The sequence below is a fragment of the Homo sapiens genome, chromosome 16 (genome assembly GCF_000001405.40).
Source record: "Homo sapiens chromosome 16, GRCh38.p14 Primary Assembly".
NCBI classification, from domain to species: Eukaryota; Metazoa; Chordata; class Mammalia; order Primates; family Hominidae; genus Homo; species Homo sapiens.
In genome coordinates this window covers 58103587-58131203 of record NC_000016.10, presented here as the reverse complement: position 1 = coordinate 58131203, position 27617 = coordinate 58103587, and the positions used below count along the sequence as shown (strand labels likewise).

Below are 27617 nucleotides of genomic sequence, written 5' to 3'. Positions count from 1 at the left end.
ACATGCTAAGGTGTTAATATATAGTGCCTGACACATAGTAAATGTTCAACTTACTGCTATAATGGACAAAAACTGCTAATAATGATGATATTAGCTACAGACTCCTTTTCTATCAGCCATACCACCCAGCACAGGCCTAGGCAAAAAATACAATATTTAGGTAGATGCTCAGTGACTATGTCAACATTTGAGATTTCCCTTTACACTCAAAATGTAGCTTACTTTATGTTTTCTAAAATATTCTAGGTATTAATTAATTTATTAATTTATTTATTTTGAGACGGAGTCTCACTGTCACCCAGGCTGGAGTGCAGTGGCGTGATCTCAGCTCACTGCCAGCTCTGCCTCATGGGTTCACGCCATTCTCCTGCCTCAGCCTCCCGAGTAGCTAGGACTACAGGTGCCCGCCACCACGCCCGGCTAATTTTTTGTATTTTTAGTAGAGACGGGGTTTCACCGTGTTAGCCAGAATGGTCTCGATCTCTTGACCTCGTGATCCACCTGCCTCAGCCTCCCAAAGTGCTGGGATTGCAGGCGTGAGCCACCGCGCCCAGCCGTATTAATTTTTATTTTTATTTTTCAGAGACTGTGTTGCCCAGGCTGGAGTGTAGACCAGCCTGAGTTTGAGACCAGCCTGAGCAACACAGTGCAACCCTGTCTCTACAAAAACAAAAAATTAACGCAGGCATGGTGGCCCACGCTTGTAGTCAGCTACTCTGGAGACTGGGTGGAAGGATAGGCTGAGCAGGGGAGGTCGAGGCTGCAGTGAGCCATGATCGCGCCACTGCACTCCAGCCTAGGTGACAGAGCGAGATCCTGTCTCAAAAATAAATAAACAAATAAATAATAAAATAAAAATCAGCTGTTGGTTCAACTCAACTTTCTTAATTTTGTTTATGAATGTCTGCCTTTATCTTAATGTTCAGGATTATTTATTTATTTGAGACCGGGTTTCGCTCTGTCGCCCAGGCTGGAGTGCAGTGGCGTGGTCTCGGCTCACTGCAGTCTCCTCCTCCCGGGCTCAAGGGATCATCCCACCTCAGCCCCCCAAGTAGCTGGGATTACAGGCGCGCGCCACCACGCCCGGCTGATTTTTGTATTTTTTTGTAGAGGAAGGGTCTCGCTTTTTTGCCCAGGCTGGTCTTGAACTCCTGGACTCAAGCGATCCGCCTGCCTCGGCCTCCCAAGGTGCTGGGATTTCGGCCGTGAGCCACCGCGCCCGGCCTAATCATGTTCGGGCTTTCTTATTTTCTAATCAATGTATTTAAGGCGATACATTTTCCTCAGAGTGTCGCTTTGACTGCATGCCACAATGTGAATAATGACAGGCAGGGATGTATATTAGGCGCTTATCACAGTTAGTGCTGAATATTGGTTAGTTCCCTTTAACCTTATCCTGTACTTGGCCGACAAGCATGTGTTGGGCGTCCGCCCGACGCCAAGAAGCTCTTTTTCAAAGCCGCTTTCCCTGCGCAGCCCCTGTTCTCCCGCGCGGGCAACTACTCCCGGCCTGGCCGTCACGCCCCCTCACGTCACTCACCGCCCCGCCACGTTCTCATGACACCACGCAGGTGCCAGCAACGAACTCCAGAACCCTCCGTGCCCTTCCGCTTTTCCAAAGGCATCTCTGGGACGACGGCAAGAAAAATAGTTCCTTGACAACTGAGCTCTTTTCAGGAGGAGGCGGGACCAGGCGGGACTTACAGGCGGAACGAAACGGAAGTCCGTGGTCCTTGTAACGGGATTGGGCCCCGCGCTCCCGGGGGGCGGGCTCAGATGGGCGGAGGGATTCATTTTAAGCAACGGGCGGCCCTCCGCCTCCATTGAAGGCGGGGAAATACCGCGGCGCGGACGGTAGTTGCTGTGGTTTCCGTTCTGAGCTCGCAGCTTAGGAGCTGAAGATCGCGGACTTAGCGTTGCCGCGTCCGAGTCCGGCCATCAGTGGCTGCAGATCCGGAGGCCAGGAGCTCAACCACCCTTCTTCGGAACAGGGCCGGCCTGCTGCTGTGCCCTCGACGCTCGGTGCCTGTATCTACTCCGGGGCCTAGGTCGGCTCCGGGGGCGGCTTAGGAGAAGGCCGCCGGCGAGATGTTCAAAAACACGTTCCAGAGCGGCTTCCTCTCCATCCTCTACAGCATCGGCAGCAAGCCTCTGCAAATCTGGGACAAAAAGGTCGGGCTAGGGGCGGCGACGGGGCGGGGTGGAGGGGCTGCACCCCCTCCTCGTCCGGGGGCTGGGGACGGGGAATGGTTGTGTCGAATTGGGGCCTGGGAGAGGCCGAGAGGACGCTGCTGTGCCTTGTCCCCAGCCTGGCGGGACTGGGGCGCGAGGTGGGGGCGTCGTGTAAGCAGCGGAGGAGGTGGGGGGGGGGCGGTGCATGTGGGTGGGCGTGGCTGAGATCTAAGTGTCCTGCAGCTGTGGTGTGGTTAGGACCGCGACCCTCGCTGCTGTCTTGACTTGGTCGGTCAGTCCATTCTTTTGAGCCACTGTTTCCCCACCAATATAATGGGGTTGATGGTGCCCATCTCGTAGCATGAAATGCACGAACTTATTTGAAGGAGCTTTGGGGATGTAAAGATGAAAGGACCTGCTATTCACGAATTCCAAATATTTACTGATATCCGTTTTTGTGCCAGGCACGGTGCTGGGCACTAGACACAGAGCCTTTGTTCAGGCACCCTTACAGAGGAGCAGACAGAAAGACTCCGGCCAAGCCAGTGATGTTTAAATTGCATTCATTTGCTCCCTTCCTCCCACTGATCCCAAATAAGTCAGAATTCAGTGGCCCTTGGCACCTGCTCCACACTCACTGTGACTTGCCTGTACTATGCCCTCGGTGCCTGATTTCTCCATCAGGAAAACTGCAGAATGCTGACAGTCAAAGTCTTGTTTGGATTAATAAACTCAGAGCCAAGTACAGGCCTCATCTTTATTCAGGCATCCACTAGATGATATGTGTTTGGCCCCACGAGATGATGAATCTGTTTTTTGCAGATGTGAAGAAAGATCTAGCTGTCTATGAATTGGTCTGCATTTTATTACTTTGGTATTTCGTTCTTCATGCAAATTCCCAGGCAATCAGCTGTACTATTTCTTGAATATAAGTTACGGGAGGCACTCCAATGTGAAATTTAAGTCATATTCTTAGTACTGCTCTCTGGGAGAATGGCGAGTGTGGGTATGCCGAATGCTGCTTTTTAGAGAGATGCATGTGGAATAATCTCAGTAGGATTTATTGGTAATGAAGCCAAGAATTTTGAATTTTATCTTGGAACACGTCTCTGTATTCCCTTATCCACACATGAGAGCTCTTTATGAGGGCCACATAAAGTTGGGAGAGAACATGAGCAGCTTTCTGCCTGTCACCACTAGGGAACTCTGCGTTCTGAGGGCAGCTTTTAGGATGGTGTGTCCATAGTGTTACTTTCATAAGATAGTTGAAAAATCTGAATATAATGAAGTTGGGCCTTTGTGTATGTAAAATCTGCCCATCTCTTCTCTTTCAGATGATTCTATCCACAAGCTAGAGCTAGTGCCAGAGTACAGGAAAGCAGTTCCTTAACGTTGCTGCGTTACTGAGGTTTTTAGTTTCATGTATTTTTTCACAATGGAATAAAGCATTGTAAACTGTAAATTGCATCTGTACAAAGAGAGCCCAGGGTGCCTGGGAACTCCGTAAGGAGGTTGGCTTCCCAGCTGTCACTTGACTCAGTTATGGGCTGTCAGAAGGCATGAAGAGAGGGGGGCCCTCTGTGCCAGTGGAATTTGGAAACTGAATTGTAACAAAGTGTCAGTATAAGGCAATTGAAATCGAGAATGGGACTTGACCTAGGAGGAGAGGTTTTCAGAGCAGATAGAGAACTTACTAAAGCTGAAAGAATTCCAGTAGTAGGGAGGCCTCAGAATTTCTGTTACGAAACTTGTATCAGTTTTCCATTTTAACCCTTCTGGGCTTGATCTTGTGTGCTGTGTTTTATTTTTCAAATGAGGCTTTTTGAATAGTCAACATGTTTACCCAAGAATATAAAAGCATAGTAACCATGGTGCACTGTGTCCCTTAACAACGCCACTAGAGGTCGGATGGTACCCTAATGACATAAACACGTGTGAAAACATTGTTAAATCGATTGGCATGGTTACTTGGAGTAAATTAAACAGACATTTTGGCAAAACCTTTAGAACACTCATTTCAAGCAAAATCTTCACAACGGTAAAAGCTAATTTTGTGTTTCTAACTCTTCTTATTTAGACTCAATTGAAAAATATTTAGAATTGAGGATTTTTCCCCTCTTGGGGCAAGGGAAGGAAAGAGAAGAAAAAGGAAAGTTTGGGGCCGTATCCCTCAGCTTTGTCGTGTGTGCTTTTTCTCAGCTATGTCTGCATAAAGTGCTGGAAATTCAATCCAGTAGGGGGAACACTGGGAATTGATGTACTTATCAAAGATTTATTGAGCGACAGCTTAGTGACAGGCTTTGTGTAGACTTGGGAAGATAGAGAAAATATTTTTCCTGCTGCCAGGGACTAAGGCAAAGTTGTAATAAGGACAGAGTTTGTGGGGAGGTGAGGACTGTCTACATTTAGCTAGACATGACCTTGACTTTTGCCAGTAGGTATATATTGACTGTGGTACCTATTTATAGTTATTTTTATTTCAGAAAACTTTGTTGTTTTCTTTCATGAGTATATATAGAGAGAATTTCTGTTCGGTTTCTATGAAGAATCTTGAGAAATTTGGTTTGACTTTTGTTTAGGCTCTGTCTGCATAGAAGTGAACGCTGTATTCACAGTACCAGTGAATTTGCAAGCTTCCCTTTTGTGAAGATGGCTTGTTCGTTAGTGTTTGTCACACCGGCAATTTATTTGACTCTCTGAAGCTCACAGCCCCTCCCCTCCATCTCATCCTTCCAATCTCAACTTAAACATTCTTTTCATTGAGAACTTGAGTTAAGCCTCATGGGTGTGCCTGTGGCTGGCAGTTTTCTATTGTAGATCGTCCACTGGACTGCAGGTTCCTTAAGCAGAAGAACAGTACCTTACCGAAAAACCTCAATGCTAGGGCGTGGTCAGACACCTTGGATTTGCATCCTGGCTGTGCTGTGTTCCAGTTGTGTGATCTTAGCTATGTCCTTAACCATTCAGTTTTCTCGTCTATTTCTCACGGTTATGAAGATTCAATGAAGCTGTATATAAAGTCCTTAGCAACAGAGTTACAGTATATGTAGTCATGCACCACATGATGGCGTTTCAGTCAACGACAGACCTTACACATGACAGTGGTGCCATAAGATTATCATGGAGCTGAAAAATTCCTGTCGCTTAGTGACATAATAGTTGTTCGTTAAGTCAAATGCATTACTCGTGTTTGTGAGTAGGTGTAAACCAACCTACTGCACTGCCAGTCATGTAAAAGTATAGCATATACAATGATGTTCAGTGCCTAACACTTGATGATAAATGACTATGTTACTGGCTTATGTATTTACTATACTCTTTATCATTATTTTATTGTATTTTATTTTTCTGAGACAAGGTCTTGCTGTTGCCCAGGCTGGAATGCAGTAGTGCAATCAGGGCTCACTGCAGTCTCCATCTCCTGGGCTCAAGCAATCCTCCCACCTCAACCTCCCAAGTAGCTGGGACTACAGGCCCTCACCACCACACCTCACTAATTTTTGTATTTTTGTAGAGACGGGGTTTCTCCATGTTGCCCAGGCTGGTCTTGAATTCCTATGCTCAAGCAGTCCTCCTGCCTCAGCCTCCCAAAGTGCTAGAATTACAAGCATGAGTTCCCGTGCCTGGCCTTATCATAATTTTAGAATGTACTCCTACTTAACAACAAGAACAAAAAGTTAACTGTAAAATAACCTTAGGCAGGTCCTTCAGGAGATATTTCAGAAGAAGGCAGTGTTGTCATAGGAGATGACAGCGCCATGTGCGTTATTGCTCTTGCAGACCTTCCAGTGGGACAGCATGTGGAGGTGGAGACTGTGATTGATGTTAATGATCCTGACCCTGTGCGGGCCTGGGCTCATGTGTGTGTTTGTGTCTTAGTTTTTAACAAAAAAGTTTAAAAAGTTAAAAAAAGAAATAGGAAAAACCTTATGGAATAAAGATATATAGAAAGAAAATATTTTTGTGCAGTTGAACATTGTGTTTTAAGCTAAGTGTTATTACAAAATAGTCTAAAAGTTTTTAAAATTTTTAAAGTTTATAAAGTAAAAAAGTTCCAGTAAGCCAAGGTTAATTTATTATTGATGAAAGAAAAATATTTTTAATAAATTTAGTGTAGTCTGGCCAGGCACAGTGGCTCATGCCTGTAATCCCAGCACTAACTAAATAACTAAAGCACAGTGGCTCATGCCTGTAATCCCAGCACTAACTAAATAACTAAATAAAATAAATGTATTGTAGCATAAGTGTATTGTGTTTACAAAGTGTTCAGTAATGTCCTAGGCCTTCACATTCACTCACCACTCACTCACTGACTCAACCCAGAGCAACTTCCAGTCCTGCATGCTCCACTCATGGCCAGTGCCCTATCCAGTTGTGTCACTTTTTATCGTTTATACAGTACTGTACCTTTTCTATGTTTAGACACACAAATACGTACCATTATGTTACAGTTGCCTACAGTATTCAGTACAGTAGTATGCTGTACAGATTGTAGCCTAGGGGCAATAGGCTATACCATATGGCCCGGGTGTGTAGGATGTTGTACTGTCTAAGTCTGTGTAAGTACACTCTGATATTCACACAGCCATGGAACTGCCTAATGAGGCATTTCTCAGAACGTAATCCCATCCTTAAGCAATGCATGACTGTAGTTAGTACTTTATAAGTAATGACATACAGAATTAAATATGGCAGGGACTGAGGAATTTGCTCAAAACTAAAATAAGATGTTTGAACTTAGCCCACCATCCAGATTTCTAGGAATAGGAAGTACTGTAAAACCAGACTCCTGAAATGAGAAGAATTTAGTTGTTGCACCGTGGCTCGCCCAGCCCTAAGCCCTTAATGTGGCTCTAAGGCCACATAACCCATGCTCTGGCACCTGCTTCACTTGTTCTCCAGGCGGGACTCACTTCACCCGGTTCCCCCTCTTAGTAGTAGCCTCCTACTGAATTGAAGGAAGTCCTGTTCTCTCACCTTCAAGCTTTTGCACTTCCTGGTCCTTCTGCTGGGCGCTGCCCCTCACCACCCCACAAGCCTCACTCCCATCTTTTCATTAGGCTCCAGTCACAGTTCAAAGGCCTTTCTCAGAGTGACCTTCCTTAACTCTTCAGGGTAAGTTAATTTACTTCTTTCTTATCACACTTGACATTATTAGCTTCTTAAGGTCTGTATTCCTGGCTATACAGTTTCCTGATAGAAGCTTTTGTAAGTTTCTAAACCAACAGCTTAGAAGAAATTAGGGGTTTCTTTAATGTTACCTTGACATCTGGGACCAGCAAATCTTATATTTATTAAAAGACTCTTACGTTTAATGTAAACATTACTTCTGGTTGTAAGGAAAATACCAGGAGGTTCTGTTCCCACTTATACTTGTGTAAAACATGCTGTAATTTTCAGTCTTTTTTTTTTTTTTTTTTTTTTTTTTTTTTTTTTGAGACAGAGTCTTGCTCTGTCCCCCAGGCTGGAGTGCAGTGGCACGATCTCGGCTCACTGCAGGCTCCACCACCTGGGTTCACGCCATTCTCCTGCCTCAGCCTCCGGAGTAGCTGGGACTACAGGCGCCCGCCACCACGCCCAGCTAATTTTTTGCATTTTTAGTAAAGATAGGTTTTCACCGTGTTAGCCAGGATGGTCTCGATCTCCTGACCTCGTGATCCGCCTGCCTTGGCCTCCCAAAGTGTTGGGATTACAGGCGTGAGCCACTGCGCCCAGCCAATTTTCGGTCTTAATGGTAGTAATCCTGGCTGGGCGCAGTGGCTCACGCCTGTAATCCTAGCACTTTGGGAGGCCAAGGCGAGCTGAGGTCAGGAGTTCAAGACCAGCCTGACCAACATGAAGAAATCCCGTCTCTACTAAAAATACAAAAGTTAGCCGGGCATGGTGGCACATGCCTGTAATCCCAGCTACTCGGGAGGCTGAGGCAGGAGAATCACTTGAACCCGGGAGGTGGAGGTTGCGGTGAGCCGAGATGGTGCCATTGCACTCCAGCCTGGGCAACAAAAGCAAAACTTTGTCTCAAAAAAAACAAGATAGTATCCTAAAAGTACATGAGATGAGATTGCATTAATTCATGAAAACGCCTTTGTCTGTCTTTCCTGTCACCCTGTCTTTCTCTCAGCTGCTGCTGTTTCTCCCCTACTCCAAGACTAAATATTAGACCAGAGTCTTCTGCTGTTGCTGGATAGTGTTAGATTCCCATGTCCTGTTCTAATTTTAAAAATAAAGTCTCTCTTCAGAAAAAATTTCCTACATTCTAGTTTTTAGTTAGCATGCCTTGTTGATAAAAATTAAATTGGTGCTGTTTTCAGTAGTAGAATTGAGTGTATTTGGACATAAAGGTGGTAAAACTTTTTTTCTGACTTGGAGAATGTTCTTCATTATTCTGAGTCAGGTTTTACTGTAATTGAACGAAGACATGGTTTTTTGGTTTTGTTTTTCTTTTTTTTTGAAACAGAGTCTCGCTCTGTCACCCAGGCTGGAGTGCAATGGCACAATCTCAGCTTACTGCAACCTCCTCTTTCTGGATTCAAGCAATTCTCCTGCCTCAGCCTCCTGAGTAGCTGGGATTACAGGCATGCGCTACCACACCCAGCTAATTTTTTTGTATTTTTAGTAGAGATGGGGTTTCACATGTTGCCCAGGCTGGTCTCAAACTCCTGATCTCAGGTGATCCTCCCACCTCAGCCTCCAAAAGTGCTGGGATTACAGGCGTGAGCCACCGCGCCCGTCCGAAGACATGGGTTTTAATTACACTTGCCTTTTCTTAGCTGTGCACATAATTGTCCTTACGCTGACTTAGGGGTTGTTGGTGTATGCCCAGAGTTGCTTGTCTGCTGTCTGGATAGCCCCTGTCAAGTACAGCGAAGGGAGTGAAGCCTTTGACCCTTGGAGCCTGGGAGTCTGAGTCGGAGCTATGCTCAGTTCTCCCCACAGGGGTCTCCCTCTGCCTAATTTCTGTCTGGGAACCCAGCCCTTAACCCAGTGCAGGAACTTTCCTGCTGAAATGGACAGCTCTAATGGTTTAATGTAAATTAGAGCATGTGTCATTAAAGCTAGGATGCCAGATGGCTGAGGGTTCAGCTGCCTGCCAGGCTGAGTGGGTGGGGCCAGAAAAATGAAAGTTGGGGGAGGGAATGGATACAACTCATGTTATTTTTAAAGCAGTCATAGAAATATACAGCATCCACCAGCTCCCTCCCTATCCCAGTAGTAGTATTTTTTTTTTCCCTCAGCTTGACCCACCTCCCTGAGGCTTACATTGCGGGGAGGGAGAGAAATCGGTGTTCTTTATTAGTTGCCCTAGCAACCATGGAAAGCCTGGGAGAGTGATTGTAAGACTGGCCTGAAGCTTTGGTCACCTCTGTTGTCTGCAGAGGCAGAGAACCATTATGATCTGTAATTGCCAGTAACTGGATTCTGAAGCTCTTTGAGTATCTCCAGCTCATGGGCAGGGGAGGGGAAATTAATGAAATAAAACAATATTGGCTTTAGATTTTTATTTTTATTTTATTTTTTTTGAGGAATAAAGCACTCATAGGCCACACTTTGATAGTGGGAATGTGTCATGAATGAAAAAGAATTAACAAATCAAAAACAGTCGGCTCTTTGTGATCTAGAGAAGGACAGAACATGTTAAAACCTGCTTCCGCCATGAGCAATAAATGCTGAGCAGTTCATTTTATCTTCATCCCAAAGCCACGCCTGCCCAGTGACCTCTGAACTGGAAGGAGCTAAGGAAAGGACGTTGATACTTTCTGAGACATGTATCTTCCTGTATGCTGTTTTCAGAAGCTGGTTTTAGGAGACGGTTGCTTTCCTGGAAGACCTTTATAATATTAGGCAATGACAGCCACATGGCCAGGGTGGTGGGGAGCCTTTGCCCCAAATTGCCTGTCGCCTCTCCCCTTTGATCCTAGTTTTAGAGCCTAGAGAAGAGGCTTTGGGAAATTACCCTCTAATGCACATATCTGATTGATCGCCCTTACCACCTCCACGCTACTCTTTTCCAGTGAGTTTGTATTTGCAGCCCTTTAAACTTAATAAAGGAGAAAAATCACAATTCACTAACAAATCCACTTAATTTGATTTCAAACCTCTGGAGACTTTTCACATGGGGATACTTGTGTTTTTCTTCATCGGGGGTTAAACAGTCTCTTGGGGAAAAGCTCTGTTTAGTTTGTCTTACCACCAGCCAGGTTCAAAATCTAGAGAGACTGATGGGCATTCCTTCAACAAAGTTGCCTTGACCCCTCCAAGTTCCCTTGTTTTGTGGAATACATTCATTCATTTTGTAAAACTTAAATTTGTGAGTGTGTTTGTTATCTAGTAACACTGGGAGAAAAAGAAATCTCTTTAGTAATTTATTGAAAATCCAACTAAAAGTTAGCTTGCCTCTGGGCAGAAGTGCAGGAATACTACAGTCTATCCAGCTTCCAGCCTGCATTGGCTTCTGTGTGCATTGTACGGCTTTGTTTTCTTCTGTGAAGACCTGAATAGGTCATATCTGCTGGAGTTCCAGGGAAGTCGTAAACTTTGAGATGGGCAGAAGGCAGATTCCCTAACATTTTCTCCCTGTGAGATCTGGCTGGTCTTTCTGGAACTGAGGGAGGCCTCTTGTTGACACTGGCCAGAGAGAGCTTGAGTGATGTGAAATTTGAGGGCATGCTTTAAATAAGGGTGGATCAATAGCAACATGTTGCTTTTTAGCAATAGCAGTTTTCAGGCCCAAGTTACTTCTTAATCCTGTCAATTTAACTGTCTATTTGCTCTTTGCAGTTTGTCCCGTTTTAAAGAATGGTTATGTTATTGAGAATAATTAGTGGTGTGTTATAAAAGTAGTGTTTGCATCTTGTTGGAATACTGCCAGCTCTTATCAGTAGGGCTGCTCGCATTAGTTGGAAATGATTTCTTCATTAATTCCTTCTTCACTGAATCTGCTTGGTTTTCCACAGAAAATACAGGAGGAATATCGCCACTTAGGTTGGGAACATGAGATGGCGAGTGAGGTGGGCACTTAGGTTGGGAACATGAGATGGCGAGTGAGGTGGGCACTTAGGTTGGGAACAGTAGATGGCGAGTGAGGTGGGCACTTAGGTTGGGAACATGAGATGGCGAGTGAGGTGGGCACTTAGGTTGGGAACAGTAGATGGCGAGTGAGGTGGGCACTTAGGTTGGGAACATGAGATGGCGAGTGAGGTGGGCACTTAGGTTGGGAACAGTAGATGGCGAGTGAGGTGGGCACTTAGGTTGGGAACAGTAGATGGCGAGTGAGGCGGGCAGTAGTGGCGTATTCTGCACAGACCCAGGCCTTTGTGCTCTTAATCTCCTTGGAAAGGGGCCCAGAATTCAAAGCAGGAGGGCATTGAACATTGCCAGCTTTGTTTGAGAATCGTTTCAATGTGACGTTTTGTGTCTTGAGAGCCTAAGAAATGCTCCATTGGCAGGGATTGGGGTCCCGTCTAGCCCAGTATTCTGTCTCTGACAATGGGCACCCATTTGTGGAAGCATTCTTCATGCTGGCGGCCCTGTGGGCTTTGTGATATGCCCCAGATCTCTGGCTTCCTATAATAGTCCACGGGGGATGTGTTATCCAGGAATTTTTAAAACCCTCCTTGAACCTATTCATATGTGCCAGCTCTTAGGGTGACAGATTCCAGAAGTCAGCAAATATTTGAACGCTTAGTTTATGGCTAGCACTGTGCTAAGCATTGTCGAAGATAGAAATGATGCTTCATAACTGGTCTTGGCTCTTGCTTGAGCTTATTCTTTTTTAAGGAGACAAGACTTGGTTGCAGTTGTGGAAAAGGTGGGCAGTGACATCAGATGTCACCTTTAGAACACCAGGCAGACCATGAGTGGATCAGACTCACAGTGACAGAGCTCACAGAGACTAATGTCTAAAAACAGAAACATATTATTAATAATTTATGTTGAAAAATAAAACTACCAGACCCAACACTGATTTATCCCCATATGCAAGTCTAATAGCCAAATCGTAATCAGCAGGCTGATGAGTGAACAAGAGGAGCTTTAGTCAGTGTGATTGAGTCATTGATTATGGCAGCCTAACACAGCCCTTTCCACAAAGAAAGACCGTATGTTTGTCTTTCTGATGTCTCCTGTTCTAAACCTAGTTGATCTTTTTCATATGTTATTCCATTCAGCCCTAATAGTCCAGCCTTGTTTTTTTGTTTGTTTGTTCATTTTTGAGACAGGATCTCACTCTGTCGCCCAGGCTTGAGTACAGTGGCACAATCACGGCTCACTGCAGCCTCGACCTCCCAGGCTCAGGTTATCCTCCCACCTCAGCCTCCTGAGGAACTGAGACGATAGGCACGTGCCACTACACCTGGCTAATTTTTTGTAGAGATGGGGTTTCATCATGTTGTCCAGACTGGTCTTGAACTCCTGAGCTCAAGCAGTTCTCTCGCCTCGGCCTCCCAAAGTGCTGGGATTACAAGCGTGAACCACCATGCCTGACCCCAGCCATGTTTTTTTGGTTTTGTTTTTTTTTTTTCGTTTTTTGTTTTGTTTTTTTTGAGATAGGGTCTTGCTCTGTCACCTACTCCTCTAGGCTGGAGTGCAGTGGCACAAACACAGCTCACTGCAGCCTGGACCTCCTGAGCTCAAGTGATCCTCCCACCTTAGCCTCCCAAGTAGTTGGGACTATAGGCACACTACAGGTGCACGCCACCACACCTGGCTAATTTTTTGTAGAAACAATGTCTTACTATGTTGCCCAAGCTGATCTTGAACTCCTGAGCTCAAGCTATCCTCCTGCCTTGGCCTCCCAAAGTGCTGGGATTACAGGCATGAGCCACTGTGCCTGGCCCCAGCCCTGTTTTGAAAGTGCCTTTGCATATCTCTGTTCTGTCCATATTAGTTGCTTAAAAGTTTAATGCTTGAAGATAATTGTTCTTTCCTAAATATTTTGAGAGGAGGAATCTGTATTGAATATTGATTCCTCCCCATCATCTACCTCCTACATATGCAGCAAACAATACAAAACAATGTAGGATGAGGTGCTAAATTATGTCGTCTAGACAACATGAGCCAGAAAAACAAATCAGAGAAAAGAGAGGTCAGTGTGGGCTGAAAATGCTAAAGAAGGCATCTGTGTGTGGCACAGATGGGAATTGAATTCCTGCTTTAAAAAGTAGAAAATTAGGCAAAAGCAGATAGGGAAGCATGAAGCAGGATAACTCCAGGGGAGGAATGCTTTCACTTTTTGTTGCTGCCCTCCTCAGTAACACTCAGCTTTTCTTTGGCTTTTCTGGCCAAAGAAATATACAAGGCAGGACGGGCGCAGTGGCCCATGCCTGTAATTCCAGCACTTTGGGAGGCCAAGGCAGGTGGATCACAAGGTCAGGAGTTCGAGACCAGCCTGGCCAACATGGTGAAACCCCGTCTCTACTAAAGATACAAAAAAAAAAATCGGCTGGGCATGGTGCTGCACGCTTATAATCCCAGCTACTCAGGAGGCTGAGGCAAGAGAATCGCTTGAACCTGGAAGGCAGAGGTTGCGGTGAGCCAAGATCGCGCCATTGCACTCCAGCCTGGGCGACAGGGCGAGACTCCGTCTCAGAAAAAAGAAAAAAGAAAGAGAAAGAAAGAAATCTACGAGGCAGTATGAGGCAGTGGAAAGGCTGCTGAATCCTTAGTCTCCTACTTAGGGTTTGGCATTTGCAGTTCCGGGGTGCCAATGTCCACATTTGTAAAATGAAAACAGTATCACCTGCCTTGTTGTTTTTATTGTGTGAGGCTTAAGTGAGAAGGGGATGTGTGTGATATTCCTGGTGCATAGTAGGCATTCAGTAGATATTAGCTGAATCTAAATTGAGTTGATGTATTTGGGGAGAAGTTTCCCCAGATTTAGGGATTGCCAAGTTACCTGGGATTCCCTTGGTGGTTGGTGTGACCCTGTCTAGAGGTAATAGCTTGGCTTACTTACATATAAGCTTCAGTGTGCTGTGTCACAAATTTCTTTGTACGCCTCTTGGGCTACCGTGGTTTTCTTTAAATAGTCCTATTCAGCCTTGTCAGATATTTCAGTACTAATCGAATTTTCTTTCTTGTAGGTACGGAATGGCCACATCAAAAGAATCACTGATAATGACATCCAGTCCCTGGTGCTAGAGATTGAAGGGACAAATGTAAGGTAGGTTGCCACCTCTGTTCTCCCAGAGACATCATATACTAGGGAGGCAGTACGTCATAGAGGTTAATAGCACAGACTGCGGAGTCAGAGTGCCGGATGTGAGTCTATCTCTGCCACTTAGAGCTTACCATGGGCAAGTTACTGAATCCCCCAGACCTTAGCATACTCATCTGTACAATGGGCAGAATAATAGTACATTTTCCTTATAGGGTTATTGCGAGGAGTAAATAAATGAATATATATAAAACACGTAAAGCCTTGCTTAGCACATAGTAAGCACGATGTCAGTATTAGCTATATTATTAACCAAAGTGTGTGTTGGGGTGGGGAGTGGGCAGTGTTGTACAGCTCATCCAGTGGGTGGACAGTGTGGTTTTCAGTGCCATAGAGGTCTCAGTTTTGGTTTTCTGTCATTCGATGGCTCCCCTGGACCAGAATTGAGGTCTTCTCTCACTGGAGGAGCTTCTAAGATCCACTGTCTGGCTTTGTTTTTCAGATATTTTATTGCTGCTGTCTAGTCCTGTGTTAAGCTTTTGTTTCTGGGTCCAGCGTTTGTTAAAGCAGCCGCTGACTTAGGGCTGAGGGATTCACTGGGTGGCGTGTCTGAATCTTTTAGATCTGCTTTCCAGTGTATCCTCTTGGACCGTGTGTTATTGTTGTGCATACCACAAAGGAAGAGAGTCCAGGAGTGTGTTTATTAGTATTTCCTCTCTCTACAGCACCACATATATCACATGCCCTGCAGACCCCAAGAAGACGCTGGGAATTAAACTTCCTTTCCTTGTCATGATTATCAAAAACCTGAAGAAGTATTTTACCTTCGAAGTGCAGGTAAGTATGTGTACATGAATGTGTCCACTCTTGGCTATACCAAAGTGATAGCCTTTGAACTGATGGGAAAAAGTGACCCTACAAAGTATCTTTATCCTTTTGCATGTATTCTTTTCTGCTTCTAGTATAAGCCCAGTGCAGTCCTTGTTATGTAAATTTGATATTAGTAATAAAATTTAATCAGGTTTTTAAAGAAACAGCACCTAGAAAACCTAGTAATTTCAAAGTGTCAGAGTTAGCGTGGTATCCATTTGGGGAGTGATTATTTAATAGTGGGTGGCTGTTCTGTTTTAGTATTTCTGATTTTTCAAAAGGAAGAACATTTATATACTCTATGGTCTGAGAGCCTGCTGACTGTGTTATATGTCATAAGCAGCTGGTGTTGTCTTGGCAACAAACAAGATAAACTTGCTACTTCCGGGCCATCTGCATGCAGTGTATGACCTGTGTCTGGTCTGTTTATTTTCCTCTAAGTCTCAGCCTTGGGAAAGCAAGCTGTGGGAATTCAGGTCCTTGTCTGGACAAGGTTGTGTGCTTCTTCCAAGACAGAGCTAGTGTGATGCTTCTTCTCTGTATTTCACAGGTACTAGATGACAAGAATGTGCGTCGTCGCTTTCGGGCAAGTAACTACCAGAGCACCACCCGGGTCAAACCCTTCATCTGCACCATGCCCATGCGGCTGGATGACGGCTGGAACCAGATTCAGTTCAACTTGCTAGACTTCACACGGCGAGCATACGGCACCAATTACATCGAGACCCTCAGAGTGCAGGTACTGCTCCTTTCCCAGATAGAGCCCTGGGTTGGGGATAGGGCACACTGCGTCTAATATTGGCTTGTGGCCCACATAGCAGAACAGTGTGGGTTTCTGGCTTCAGTTGCCACACTGTCCAGGGAGCTTTGGCCTCACAAAGGTCCAGGAAATATTCAGAAGTCGGGTCAGGTATAGAGGTGAATACAGCAAGTAAGACCTCCCTCTTGCCAGAATCCATCCCTAAGACAAGCCAAGGAGATGCCGGAGATGACGCGTTTCCAGTCCTGGAAGAGGGCCTCTAGAAGATTCAGGAAAAGGGGGAGAACAGTCACATTTCGCCTCTCAAAAGAAGCATTGCCTTGACAGATCCATGCAAATTGTCGCATCCGACGGGTTTACTTCTCAGACAGACTCTACTCAGAAGATGAGCTGCCGGCAGAGTTCAAACTGTATCTCCCAGTTCAGAACAAGGCAAAGGTAAGCCAGTCTTCCCCAGAGGAAGGTCCACCAGTGAGTGGGGGGAGCTGTGTTCCTGGAAGGTGCTCTGGTCTAAGAATTCAGCTGCAGAGCCTCTCTGTGTTGACACTTTGGGGTGCCTTTATATCGCAAGATCTTAGGTCTCCTTCCAGCACTGAATCAGGAATGCTCCTGTGAAATACTCTGTTACTGCTGTTTCCCCTCTCCACGGTGAGAGGGGATGAGGCACTTCCTACTACTGGCTCACAGAACTTCAGAAAATATCTTAACTTTTTTTTTTTTTTGAGATGGAGTCTTGCCCTGTTGCCCAGGCTAGAGTGCAGTGGCACGATCTCAGCTCACTGCAACCTCTGCCTTCCAGGTTCAAGGGATTCTTGTGCCTCAGGCTCCTGAGTAGCTGGGATTACAGGCGCCTGCCACCATGCCCAACTAATTTTTAATTTTTATAGAGACGGGGTTTCACCATGCTGGCCAGGCTGGTCTCAAACTCCTGACCTCAAGTGATCCGCCTGCCTCGGCCTCCCAAACTGCTGGGATTACAGGCGTGAGCCACCGTGCCCAGCCCCATCTTAACTCTTAATCAGCCCAAAAGTATTATCAGCTGATAGGTCCCTGCTAACACAAGGGTGGGTGCTTCCCTGCCTGTGTGCTGCAGATGTGTGTCCATTCTCCACAGTCACTGTCCACTCAAGTGTCACCAGAGGCAGGGGGCCTGTGACACTGACCATCTATTTTCTAGTAACTTAAACTGATGCCACTTCTCTGTTTTTTCCCTTCAGCAATAACTGGAATTGTGACTCGAGGGATAGACCCCTGGATGTGACTCTTCTTTTTAAAAGGAAACTATGTGGAGGACGATGCAAAAACATATTTATCTTAGTTTGCTCTGCTGTAGTTCTGTTATTTATACTTGGTGTTGCTTGTCATGGACACCGGTGAACATGCCGTAACTCTGTGACTGCATTGTAAGTGCAGTGGGGGTAAGCAGTCCTGTGAGTGGCGCATGAACGCTGGAGCTTATTCCGCCGCCTGCCCCAGTGTGGGGGGAGATACCTTTACCATGAACTTACAGAATTAAAGATGGCCCATAAGGAATTCCAGACCAATATTTCTTCCTGCGGTTTATTCTATGTTTTATATATTATCTAAATATATGTATATGCTGTGTCATACTCATAATCTGGAAATGAATAAAGTGATATATTCCTGGTTTGTAAATTTGTTCCTAGTTTGTCTTTTTTCATGGTGATGTTTGTTTCCTTTGTGATATGAAAAGAGAACTATTTCCATTGAACATCTTATACATTTCATGCTGTGAAATGTCTTGTATTAAGTATCTAAAGAACAAGACATATTATGCAGCTGACCCTTGAACAACACAGGTTTGAACTGTGCGGGTCCATTTATATGAGGATTTTCTTCCACCTCTGCCACCCCTGAGACAACAAACCAGTCCCTCCTCCTCTCCCTCCACCTCCTCCTCTTCCCCTCCTCATCAATGTGAAGACAACAATGATGAAGACCTTTATGATGATCCACTTAATGAATAGTAAATATATTTTCTCTTCTTTATGATTTTCTTAATAACGTTTTCTGTAGCCTACCCTATTGTGAGAATACAAAATACAGTATGTAATTCATACAAAATATGTGTTGAATGGCTGTTTATATTATCAGTAAGGGTTCTAGTCAACAGAAGGCTATAGTAGTTAAGCTTTGGGAGAGTCAAAAGTTATACATAGATTTTTGCATAAGGGGGTCGGTGCCTCTAACCTCTGAGTTGTTCAAGGGTCAACTGTATAAACTGGTTCAGAACAACTTTGAAGACTAAATGGGAAAAAAAAAATAGTATGTGACCAGTGGAATCATCTTGCTAGGGGTTGGGTCCTAGGTTGAGCTTAAGACAGAATGACATAGTCTAAATTGCACCTAAAGCATTGGAGCAGATCACCATTTCTCTATTTGAGTTCCCGCTGAAGTACTACTGGCCTTGAATGTAGGGACTTAAAGAAAAATGTTTCTTTTTTTGAAACGGAGTCTCACTCTGTCGCCCAGGCTGGAGTGCAGTGGCAACATCGCAGCTCACTGCAAGCTCCTCCTTCTGGGTTCACACCATTCTCCTGCCTCAGCCTCCTGAGTAGCTGGGATTACAGGCGCCCGCCACCACGCCCAGCTAATTTTTTTCTATTTTTAGTAGAGACGGAGTTTCACGGTGTTAACCAGGATGGTCTTGATCTCCTGACCTCATGATCCGCCCGCCTCGGCCTCCCAAAGTGCTGGGATTACAGGCGTGAGCCACTGCGCCCGGCCAGAAAAATGTTTCTTTAAACGCTGGAATCGCATGAGGGAACTGGAACCTTACACCACTTTTCCCACTGTGCTTATTCTGGGCAGATGCCTGTTGAGTGGAATGACACTGGCACTATTGCCTGCTTTTTTCTTTTTCTCTTTTCTTTTTTTTTTGGTTAGGCACAGATGAATTTGCAAAAGTTAAGCACTGTATATGATACAACTCTACCACATGCAACATTTCTGAGGGGAAAGCAATTTGAGGGCAGAGAAAAGCACTTATCAGCATCCCCCTATTAGGTGGTGTCCTATATGATCTTGAAGGACACACAACTAATACAGTGATTACCTGGGCAGAATGATTTTGTTGTGTTTTTTTAAATCACTTGTATACTCTCTTCTACTATTAAAAAAAACAATGTTTTTGGCCAGGCGTGGTGGCTCACGCCTGTAATCCCAACACTTTGGGAGGCCAAGGCAGGCAGATCACTTGAGGTCAGGAGTTTGAGACCAGCCTGGCCAACATGGTGAAACCCCATCTCTACCAAATATAAAAAATTAGCTGGGTGTGGTGGCGCGCTTCTGTAATCCCAGCTGCTTGGGAGGCTGAGGCAGGAGAATTGCTTGAACCTGGGAGGCAGAGGTTGCAGTGAGCTGAGATAGTGCCACTGTACTCCAGCCTGGGTAACAGCAAGACTCTATCTCAAAAAAAAAATTTTTTTTGGAAAGACATTTTTGTAATAAAAATTTCAAAGTTAATGCAAGAGCAAAAGGCTATTCCAGATTCTGTGCCCTCCCCAGTCACTCCCCGGGGTTTGCTGTCATTGCACAGACTGGAACTGTGGGCACCTGCCATTTTGACTTTGGTTAGAGGTAAAAACATTAAGTTCTGGGATTTGTCATTACCATTGCTGCCTTCTGAGAAGTTAAATGGCAGGAAGCACGCTTTCCCCACATCCGTATCCTCCAGAGTATGCTGTGGGGAAGCATGGCCAAGTCTCTGAGGAGGCAGGGGCTACAGGAGGTGGAGAAGTGGAGGGGAGGGTGCTCCACAGCTACCTGATGAGACAGTTGTCAAGTGCCTGAAACTCAGGTGGGCGCAGTTAAGACAACTTTCCCCTTTTTCCTTCTGCTGGTGACCAGCCTGGAGCCACCTTCTGGAGGATGCTGCCCCTCTCCTTTGAGTCCCTAGTCATCAGCATCACAGAACACACCCCCTCAGCCCAGGTGACAGAGCCTGCTCTTGCAGGGCTAACTCTGGTCAAAACTGAACGTCGTCCTGCTTCCCTGTGCTTAGCATGTCAGCATCCCCCTCTTAGGCAGTGTGCCTGTCTCCTTCACTTTCTTGCTTACAATAGGAATCCTCAAATGGCTGAGTGGGTGGAGGGGTGGGCAATAACCAACAGAGTGTCTAGCCTCTGGCCACTGTCTAGTGAAATCTTCCCTCCAATCCAGACTCGATTATGGCATGAAAGATGCTTTTGTGATGACAAGAAAACCGCGTTAACTTCTCATCTCTTCTGGGTGCCAGGATATCAGTGAAGTGCTCCTGGGGGTTCAGAGCAACACAGGGAGGCACTCTCCTCCACACAGAGCCTCTTTCACCCCAGGCACTTGTTAGACCGTGTCTGGGGATTACCTCACCACCCTTTGGGGTGGTAGGTGGTGACTTCCCAGATGCCTCACATACCCATCCCAGAGGAAGAAGGAAGCGAGGGGCCCCGGGGGTGATGAGAGGTATTATCTGAGCTGGCCCCAGGCCAGGGTGAATAGTGGTGTCATGACTGCACAGCCCCTTGCCTGCAGCTTTCCAGCTCCCCAGGAAGACGACAACCTCCAGTGAGGCTGAGGGAAGAGGGAATGACAGGCTGCTGGGCTGAGGCGCCCTCATGGAGTTTGGGCCTGGGTGATCTCGGATCACGGTAATTGGAGCAGGCAGAATTGCATTATCCAGCTCCTTGGAAGTCACAGTGTGTTTTAGAAGGAATTGCCCTCTAAATGAGAGAGTGTTAGTTAATTGGCATGAACTTGGAATAGCACACAGCCGTTCCCAACAGGGCTGATTCTGGGGGAGAGTAGATTTACTCTGGCCCTTAATTGCCCCTGGCCCGTTGATTGCTTCCTCTATAGCCAGGCTAGAAGACTGGCCGGCGCCACACCAGTCAGCTCCTGGGGCATTTCTGAAGGTTGCAAGAATCCCAGAGAACAACCCCAAACCGATGTCCCTAGCCCCTCAGTGGCTTCACCCAGAAGCCCTAAGTGTCAGGAAATTCACTGAAAAAGATCTTGCAGCTCTTGTCTGCATCCTCATCCCCTCATTTTACTGATCAGGACACTGAAGCCCAGAGAGGGATGGGCTAGCCCCTCTAGAAACAACGGGGTGGAACGAGGACCCCATGCTCCTGAGGAGACCCATATGCCATCCCTGTCCTCTTTTGTGTTGGCATCCCCTTGCATCAAGCACTGGAGTCAGCTCTGCCCAGCAGTGAGGGCTGGCCTGCCCAGTCACTATGTGGTCACATATTAGTTGAACACAAGGGTCTGAGGCTGACAGTAAAAATCTCATTTGTGTTTAACCAGGGAATCATAAAAGTAATACATGCTCATGGTACATTCATGAGCTCATGGTTCAAAGAATATGAAGGGCTGGGCACGCCTGTAATCCCAGCACTTTGGGAGTTCGAGGCAGGTGGATCACTTGAGATCAGGAGTTTGAGACCAGCCTGGCCAACAGGATGAAAGCCCATCTCTACTAAAATACAAAAAAATTAGCCGGGCGTGGTGGCGTGCACTGCTAATCCCAGCTACTCAGAAGGCAGAGGCAGGAGAATTGCTGGAACTTGGGAGGCGGAGGTTGCAGTGAGCTGAGATCGCACCACTGTACTCCAGCCTGGGCAACAAGAGTGAAACTCCATCTCAAAAAAAAAAAAGAAAGAATATAAAGTAACATATAAGTCCCACTTCCCATTTCTGAAATGACAGCACCCGAATGTATTAACAGAATGTAGTTGCCCTTTCTTCCTGCACCCAGCCGCCTAGCATGAACAGCTTTTTCAGTTTCCTGATCGCTGTCATGTGTGTTCTCTCAGGAGCCTGGGAAGGCCTGGCACTGCAGATGACTTCTAACGACAATGGAGACCCACGCAGTACATGGCAGTGCTTTTCAGAAGGTAGCATGCTTTCATAGCCGTTGCATGTGGCGCCCTTGGGATCCTGTCTGGAAGGTTATATGTGGCGCTGCCCCCATCTATGGACAAGCACAGAAGTTAAATAGCTCACAGGGGCTGCATGGCTCACATGGGCCAGAGCTGGGAATAAAGCCTAGGGCTTCCTGCTAGAAGGTCAGGCTCCTGATGCTGAGCACAAGTGTCTGCTCATAAGGCATCTAGAATAGACTTGAATAGGCCGGGCACAGTGGCTCATGCCTGCAATCCCAGCACTTTGGGAGGCCGAGGCGAAAAGAACAACTGAAGTCAGAAGTTTGAAACCAGCCTGGCCAACATGGTGAAACCCTGTCTCTACTAAAAACGTAAAAATTAGCTGGGCATGGTGGGCACCTGTAATCCCAGCTACTCAGGAGGCTGAGTCAGGAAAATCGCTTGAACCCGGGAGGCGTAGGTTGCAGTAAGCCAAGATTGTGCCACTGCACTCCAGCCTGGGCAACAGAGCAAGACTGTCTCTAAATAAATAAGGATAGACCTAATTGGTTGGAGGGCGGGGGGTGCACAATGTACCTTTCCCACAGGAAGATGAATCTACTGAATTTTAATTCATATTCTTAAATTATGTTGCTGGGCCAGGCACAGTGGTTCATGCCTGTAATCCCAGCACTTTGGGAAGCCAAGGCGGGATGATCACCTGGGACCAGGAATTTAAGACCAGCCCAGGCAACACACCGAGACCCCATCTCTACAGAAAATAAAAAACTTAGCCAGGCATGGTAGCATGCATCTGTAGTCTCAGCTACTGGGGAGTCTGAGGTGGGAGGATCACTTGAGTCGGGGAGGTGGAGGCTGCAGTGAGCTATGATTGCACCACTGCACTCCAGCCTGGGTAACAGAGCAACACTCTAAAAAAATAAATAAAAATCCAGCAAATTCAGAGTCCTTGGCCCTGGCCTATTTAAAATGCATATTTCTGGGACCCAGCTTATTAAAATGACAATTGTCCCCACCCCAAGAGATAACATTTTTATTCTCTCTCTCTGTCTAAAGCCAACCCAGAAATCTGCATCTTAATACCTTCTCCTGGTGTTTTTTGGTGATTCTGTCATCTGAGAGTGGCTCCACATTTGAGTGAGTGGATATGATACATCTGAGCGTAGAGAGGTCAGACACTGCTGGGAGAGAAAAGAAACGTAAAACACCGCCCTCCCCGCCCCCACCCACCACCCAGGCACATCTGCAGATTGCAACCTCCTCCTACCAAAAACAAACAAACAAAAGAACCCTTAAGTTCCTCCTTTTATACAGAATTCTAATATGTCATTGACATCTCCATACATTTTCCATAACCTGAAAGTGTGAGGTCCTGTAATGCAAATCACGAGTGCCTCTGGGCTGTGATAGAGGCACTCCAAATTGCAAATCCACAAGACATTGAACATCTGGATAGAGCATGAGCCTTGGAAAAATCATGCCTCTTGGTATCCATGGTGTCTGAAGCGAAGCAAAGCAAAACAGTGTGCCAGGGGTGGATATGGAAAGGGATTGAACAGAACCCCTTGTTAAAGGGGTATAAAAGGTCACCAAGCTCCTCTACTCTTCTATTGAATGACAGCAATAAATATCAATATAAGCCTCCATGGGTTCTCTCATCACTTGGGTATCCCCCAGCCCCTGTTTCCATAAAGTCTTAAATTGTAAATCCTGGTATTTTGGAGGGAATACAGTAAAATCAATAAATACAGTAAAATCGGGCCATAAATACACTAGCCTTTGGGTTCCAAGTCACTCTCCAAAGCTCCTTCCCATCCTCCAAGACTGTCCTCATGTTTACTTGAACCTAAAGCCTCTTTACAAGCCTGAGACCTCTTTTCTTGGTATTAGAAACTGACCTAAGCCCCCAGCAGTAAAAGGCAGGGAGAGCTGTAGTTCTCATTCCCTCCACCTGACTGCTGGTAGTGTGCTACAATGAAAGCAAATCTCAGCCCTTAAGGAAGGAGAAAAAAAATTATTAGTGAGCATGCAAAATAGGTTCATGCCACCTACACCTAAAGCTCGGTGGAAGTGCATGTTTTAGGATGTATGATGATATGGTTTGGCTGTGTCTCCACCCAAGTCTCAAATTGTAGCTTCCATAACTCCCCTGTGTTGTGAGAGGGACCTGGTGGCGGGTCTTTGCCATGCTGTTCTTGTGATAGTGAATAAGTCTCATGAGATCTGATGGTTTTATTTAATTATTATTATTATTATTATTATTATTGAGACAGAGTCTTGCTCTGTCACCCAAGCTGGAGTGCAGTGGCATGATCTTAGCTCACTGAAACCTCCGCCTCCCAGGAGTGATTCTCCTGCCTCAGCCTCTGGAGTAGCTGGGATTACAGGTGCACACCACCATGCCTGGCTAACTTTTTTTGTAGTTTTAGTAAAGACGAGGCTTCACCATTTTGGCATGGCTGGTCTAAAACTTCTGACATCAGGTGATCCACCAGACTTGGCCTCCCAAAGTGCTGGGATTACAGGCATGAGCCACCATGCCCTGCTGGTCTGATGGTTTTAGAAAGGAGAGTTCCAGCCGGGTGCAGTGGCTCACACCTGTAATCTCAGCACTTTGGGAGGCCGAGGCAGGTGGATCACCTGAGGTCAGGAGTTCAAGAGCGGCCTGACCAATATGGTGAAACCCCGTCTCTACTAAAAATACAAAAATTAGCCAGGCATGGTGGCAGGCGCCTATAGTCCCAGCTACTCAGGAGGCTGAGACAGGAGAATCACTTGAACCCAGGAGGCAGAGGCTGCAGTGAGCTGAGATCGTGGCATTGCACTCCAGCCTGGGTGACAGAGCAAGACTCTGTATCAAAAAAAAAAAAAAAAAAAAAAAAAAAAAGATCCCCTGCACGTGCTCTCTCTTGCTTGCCACCATGCAAGATGTGACTTTGCTCCTCCTTTGCCTTCCGCCATGATTGTGAGGCCTCCCCAGCCATGTGGAACTGTGAATCAATTAAACCTCTTTCCTTTATAAATTACTCAGTCTCCGGTATGTCTTTATTAGCAGCATGAAAACAGACTAATACACATGGACAGCAGGATGGGATGAGAGAGCAGTACCAGGCAGGAATTCCTTCTTAAGTGTGTGGGTGGGTGGGAGTGGGGGGTGAGTCCTGCAGGAGTTCTGCACTAAGATGTCCCAAAGCTTTTACAAGCCTGGGCTCACCCAATTCTTATGCCCCATTTTAATGGCGACAGAGGTACCTATATAACATTTCTAGCCAGTCATTTATTTTGAATTTGACTCATTTCACTAATGGAAAGGTATTGCTGAGATCCCTGTACTAATGATAGGGGAGCAGAGGTTCATTCCCAGAAGGCTGTGATCACTTTGGTCAGTGTGCTGGCAGAGGGGCAGGAGGGAGATGCTCTGAACCCAAAGCCCCTTTCCTAACTCCACCCCAAGGCCACCACCACCCCAGGAAATCCCAGCAACCTCAAATAAGGATGTGGAGGAGGTGGAGCTTCCTGAGGCTTCATGGCATTCAGTGACACAATCTTTCCTGCCTTGTCTGTAAAACTGTAACAAGGAGTACACGGGCCATGCAAATCCCCCTGCAGACAGAGGAGGGGCCAGGCTGCTGGCAATTTTCTTCCTTTCTTCCTTTCTTCTTTTCTTCCTTTCCTCCTTTCTTTCTTTGTTTTCTTTCTTTCTTTCTTTTTTTGAGACAAGAGTCTCACCCTGTCGCCCAGGCTGCAGTGCAATGGCGTGATCTCAGCTCACTGCAACCTTCGCCTCCCGGGTTCAAGTGATTCTCCTGCCTCAGGCTCCTGAGTAGCTGGGATTAGAGGCGCGCACCACACCTCTAATTTTTTGTATCTTTAGTAGAGATGAGGTTTCACCATGTTGGCGAGGCTGGTCTCGAACTCCTGACCTCGTGATCTGCCTGCCTCAGCCTCCCAAAATGTTGGGGTTACAGGCATGAGCCACCGCACCCAAGCGGTTTATGAGCCATTAAAACACAAAGTAGATTTTTTTTTTTTTTTGAGACAGAATCTCGCTCTTGTCACCCAGGCTGGAGTGCAGTGGTGCCATCTCGGCTCACTGCAACCTCCACCTCCTGGGTTCAAGTGATTCTCCTGCCTCAGCCTCCCAAGTAGCTGGGACTACAGGCACTCGCCACCACGCCCAGGTAATTTTTTGCATTTTTAGTAGAGACAGGGTTTCACCATGTTGGTCAGGATGGTCTTGATCTCTTGATCTTGTGATCTGCCTGCCTTGGCCTCCCAAAGTGCTGGGATTACAGGCATGAGCCACCACGCCCGGCCAAAACACAAAGTAGATTTTTAATTCATGCCATCTAATATGGTAGCCATTAGCTGTGTGGCTACTTAAAATTTATTTTCATTTATTTATTTATTGGAGATGCAGTCTCGCTCTGTCACCCAGGCTGGAGTGCAGGGGCATGATCTCGGCTCATGGCAACCTCTGCCTCCTGGGCTCAAGCGATTCTCCTGCCTCAGCCTCCTGAGTAAGTGGGTTTACAGGCGCCCGCCACCATACCCAGCTAATTTTTGTATTTTTAATGGAGACGTGGTTTCACGATGTTGGCCAGGCTGGTCTCGAACTCCTGACCTCAGGTGATCCTCCCACCTTGGCCTCTCAAAGTGCTGGGATTACAGGCGTGAGCCACTGCGCCCAGCCTTAAATTAAGATTTTATTAATTAACTTTAAATAAAATTTAAGATTCAGTTCTATCATACTAGACACATTTCAAGTGTTCTGTAGCTACACATGGCTGGCGACCTCCACATTGGGCAGTGCAGGTAAAGGCAATTTCTACTGGACAATGCTGTTTTAAATGCTTGCGTTGAATAAAATGAGATGTTATCACTACCACCAAAAAAAATGCAATGTAGTATAATGGTGACCTTAATAAGATGATTTGAGCAGGCTTCTCAAACATTAATGTGCACAGGAATCACCTAGGGATGTTATTAAAATGCAAATTCTTATTTTTTTTTTGAGATGGCGTCTCACCCTGTTGCCCAGGCTGTAGTGCAATGGCATGATCTTGGCTCACTGCAACCTCTGCCTCCCAGGTTCAAGCAATTCTCCTGCCTCAGCCTCCTGAGTAGCTGGGATTACAGGTGCCTGCCACCATGACTGGCTAATTTTTTGTATTTTTAATAGAGACAGGTTTCACCATATTACCCAGGCTGGTCTCGAACTACTGGCCTCAAGCAATCCACCCTCCTCGGCCTCCCAAAGTGTTGGGATTACAGATGTGCACCACCAGGCCTGGCCTTAAAATACAAATTCTGACTCAGCAGGTCTGGGATGAGACCCTAGATTCTGCATTTCTAATGAGCTCATGGGTCATACCCACACTGCTGGTCCATGGACCACTCTAGAAGGAAGAGATTAGAAGATTCATTGAAAAACAAGAGAGCCAGGCATGGTGGCACATGCCTGTGGTCCCAGCTACTCAGGAGGCTGAGATGGGAGGATCACTTGAGCCCAGGAGTTTGAGGCTGCAGTGAGCTCTGATTGTGCCACGGCACTCTAGCCTGGGTCATAGAGTGAGACCTCATCTCTAAAAAAATCAAAACAGGCGAGGAGCGGTAGCTCACACCTGTTATCCCAGCACTTTGGGAGGCTGAGGCAGGTGGATCACCTGAAGTCAGGAGTTCAAAACCAGCCTGGCCAACATGGCAAAACCTCATCTCTACTAAAAATATAAAAATTAGCCAGGTGTGGTGGCGCATGCCTGTAATCCCAGCTACT

General features: G+C 46.2%; 1 protein-coding gene and 1 long non-coding RNA gene across 6 annotated transcripts in view, besides 7 other annotated features; one reads left to right on the top strand and one right to left on the bottom strand.

Annotated features, from left to right (window-relative positions):
• Nucleotides 1–2320, bottom strand: part of LOC101927556 (uncharacterized) — a 31541-nt gene extending 29221 nt beyond the window's left edge. For all 4 annotated transcript variants that reach the window (NR_188514.1, NR_188516.1, NR_188515.1 and 1 more), the window contains exon 1: nt 1541–2320. This is a non-coding gene — a long non-coding RNA (uncharacterized LOC101927556). The remainder of the gene's footprint in view (nt 1–1540) is intronic.
• Nucleotides 717–1637: an enhancer, noted in NCBI's record as "H3K27ac-H3K4me1 hESC enhancer chr16:58163471-58164391 (GRCh37/hg19 assembly coordinates)". NCBI's record gives its function as "activates a minimal SCP1, AML or CMV promoter by ChIP-STARR-seq in primed H9 embryonic stem cells {active_cell/tissue: H9 hESC(primed)}" and the evidence as "EXISTENCE:reporter gene assay evidence [ECO:0000049][PMID:30033119]".
• Nucleotides 799–1036: a silencer, noted in NCBI's record as "fragment chr16:58164072-58164309 (GRCh37/hg19 assembly coordinates)". NCBI's record gives its function as "represses an EF-1alpha promoter that drives an FKBP-Casp9 reporter gene in an ReSE screen in K562 erythroleukemia cells {active_cell/tissue: K562}" and the evidence as "EXISTENCE:reporter gene assay evidence [ECO:0000049][PMID:32094911]".
• Nucleotides 1638–2559: an enhancer, noted in NCBI's record as "H3K27ac-H3K4me1 hESC enhancer chr16:58162549-58163470 (GRCh37/hg19 assembly coordinates)". NCBI's record gives its function as "activates a minimal SCP1, AML or CMV promoter by ChIP-STARR-seq in primed H9 embryonic stem cells {active_cell/tissue: H9 hESC(primed)}" and the evidence as "EXISTENCE:reporter gene assay evidence [ECO:0000049][PMID:30033119]".
• Nucleotides 1823–17612, top strand: CFAP20 (cilia and flagella associated protein 20). Of its 2 annotated transcripts, none has more exons than NR_136632.2 (6): nt 1823–2172; nt 14253–14332; nt 15052–15163; nt 15747–15935; nt 16149–16394; nt 17174–17612. NR_136632.2 is itself a non-coding variant. In NM_013242.3 (6 exons), exons 1-6 carry the CDS (start codon nt 2089–2091, stop codon nt 17177–17179), a joined length of 582 nt encoding a protein of 193 aa, NP_037374.1. In that variant the 5' UTR covers nt 1823–2088; the 3' UTR covers nt 17180–17612. The 2 variants fall into 2 exon arrangements, 1 of the variants encoding a protein (NP_037374.1); NM_013242.3 differs by having other exon boundaries at nt 16284–16394.
• Nucleotides 1929–2098: an enhancer, noted in NCBI's record as "active region_10922". NCBI's record gives its function as "activates an Ori minimal core promoter by ATAC-STARR-seq in GM12878 lymphoblastoid cells {active_cell/tissue: GM12878}" and the evidence as "EXISTENCE:reporter gene assay evidence [ECO:0000049][PMID:35858748]".
• Nucleotides 2159–2298: a silencer, noted in NCBI's record as "silent region_7544". NCBI's record gives its function as "represses an Ori minimal core promoter by ATAC-STARR-seq in GM12878 lymphoblastoid cells {active_cell/tissue: GM12878}" and the evidence as "EXISTENCE:reporter gene assay evidence [ECO:0000049][PMID:35858748]".
• Nucleotides 4093–4162: a silencer, noted in NCBI's record as "silent region_7543". NCBI's record gives its function as "represses an Ori minimal core promoter by ATAC-STARR-seq in GM12878 lymphoblastoid cells {active_cell/tissue: GM12878}" and the evidence as "EXISTENCE:reporter gene assay evidence [ECO:0000049][PMID:35858748]".
• Nucleotides 21717–21766: an enhancer, noted in NCBI's record as "active region_10921". NCBI's record gives its function as "activates an Ori minimal core promoter by ATAC-STARR-seq in GM12878 lymphoblastoid cells {active_cell/tissue: GM12878}" and the evidence as "EXISTENCE:reporter gene assay evidence [ECO:0000049][PMID:35858748]".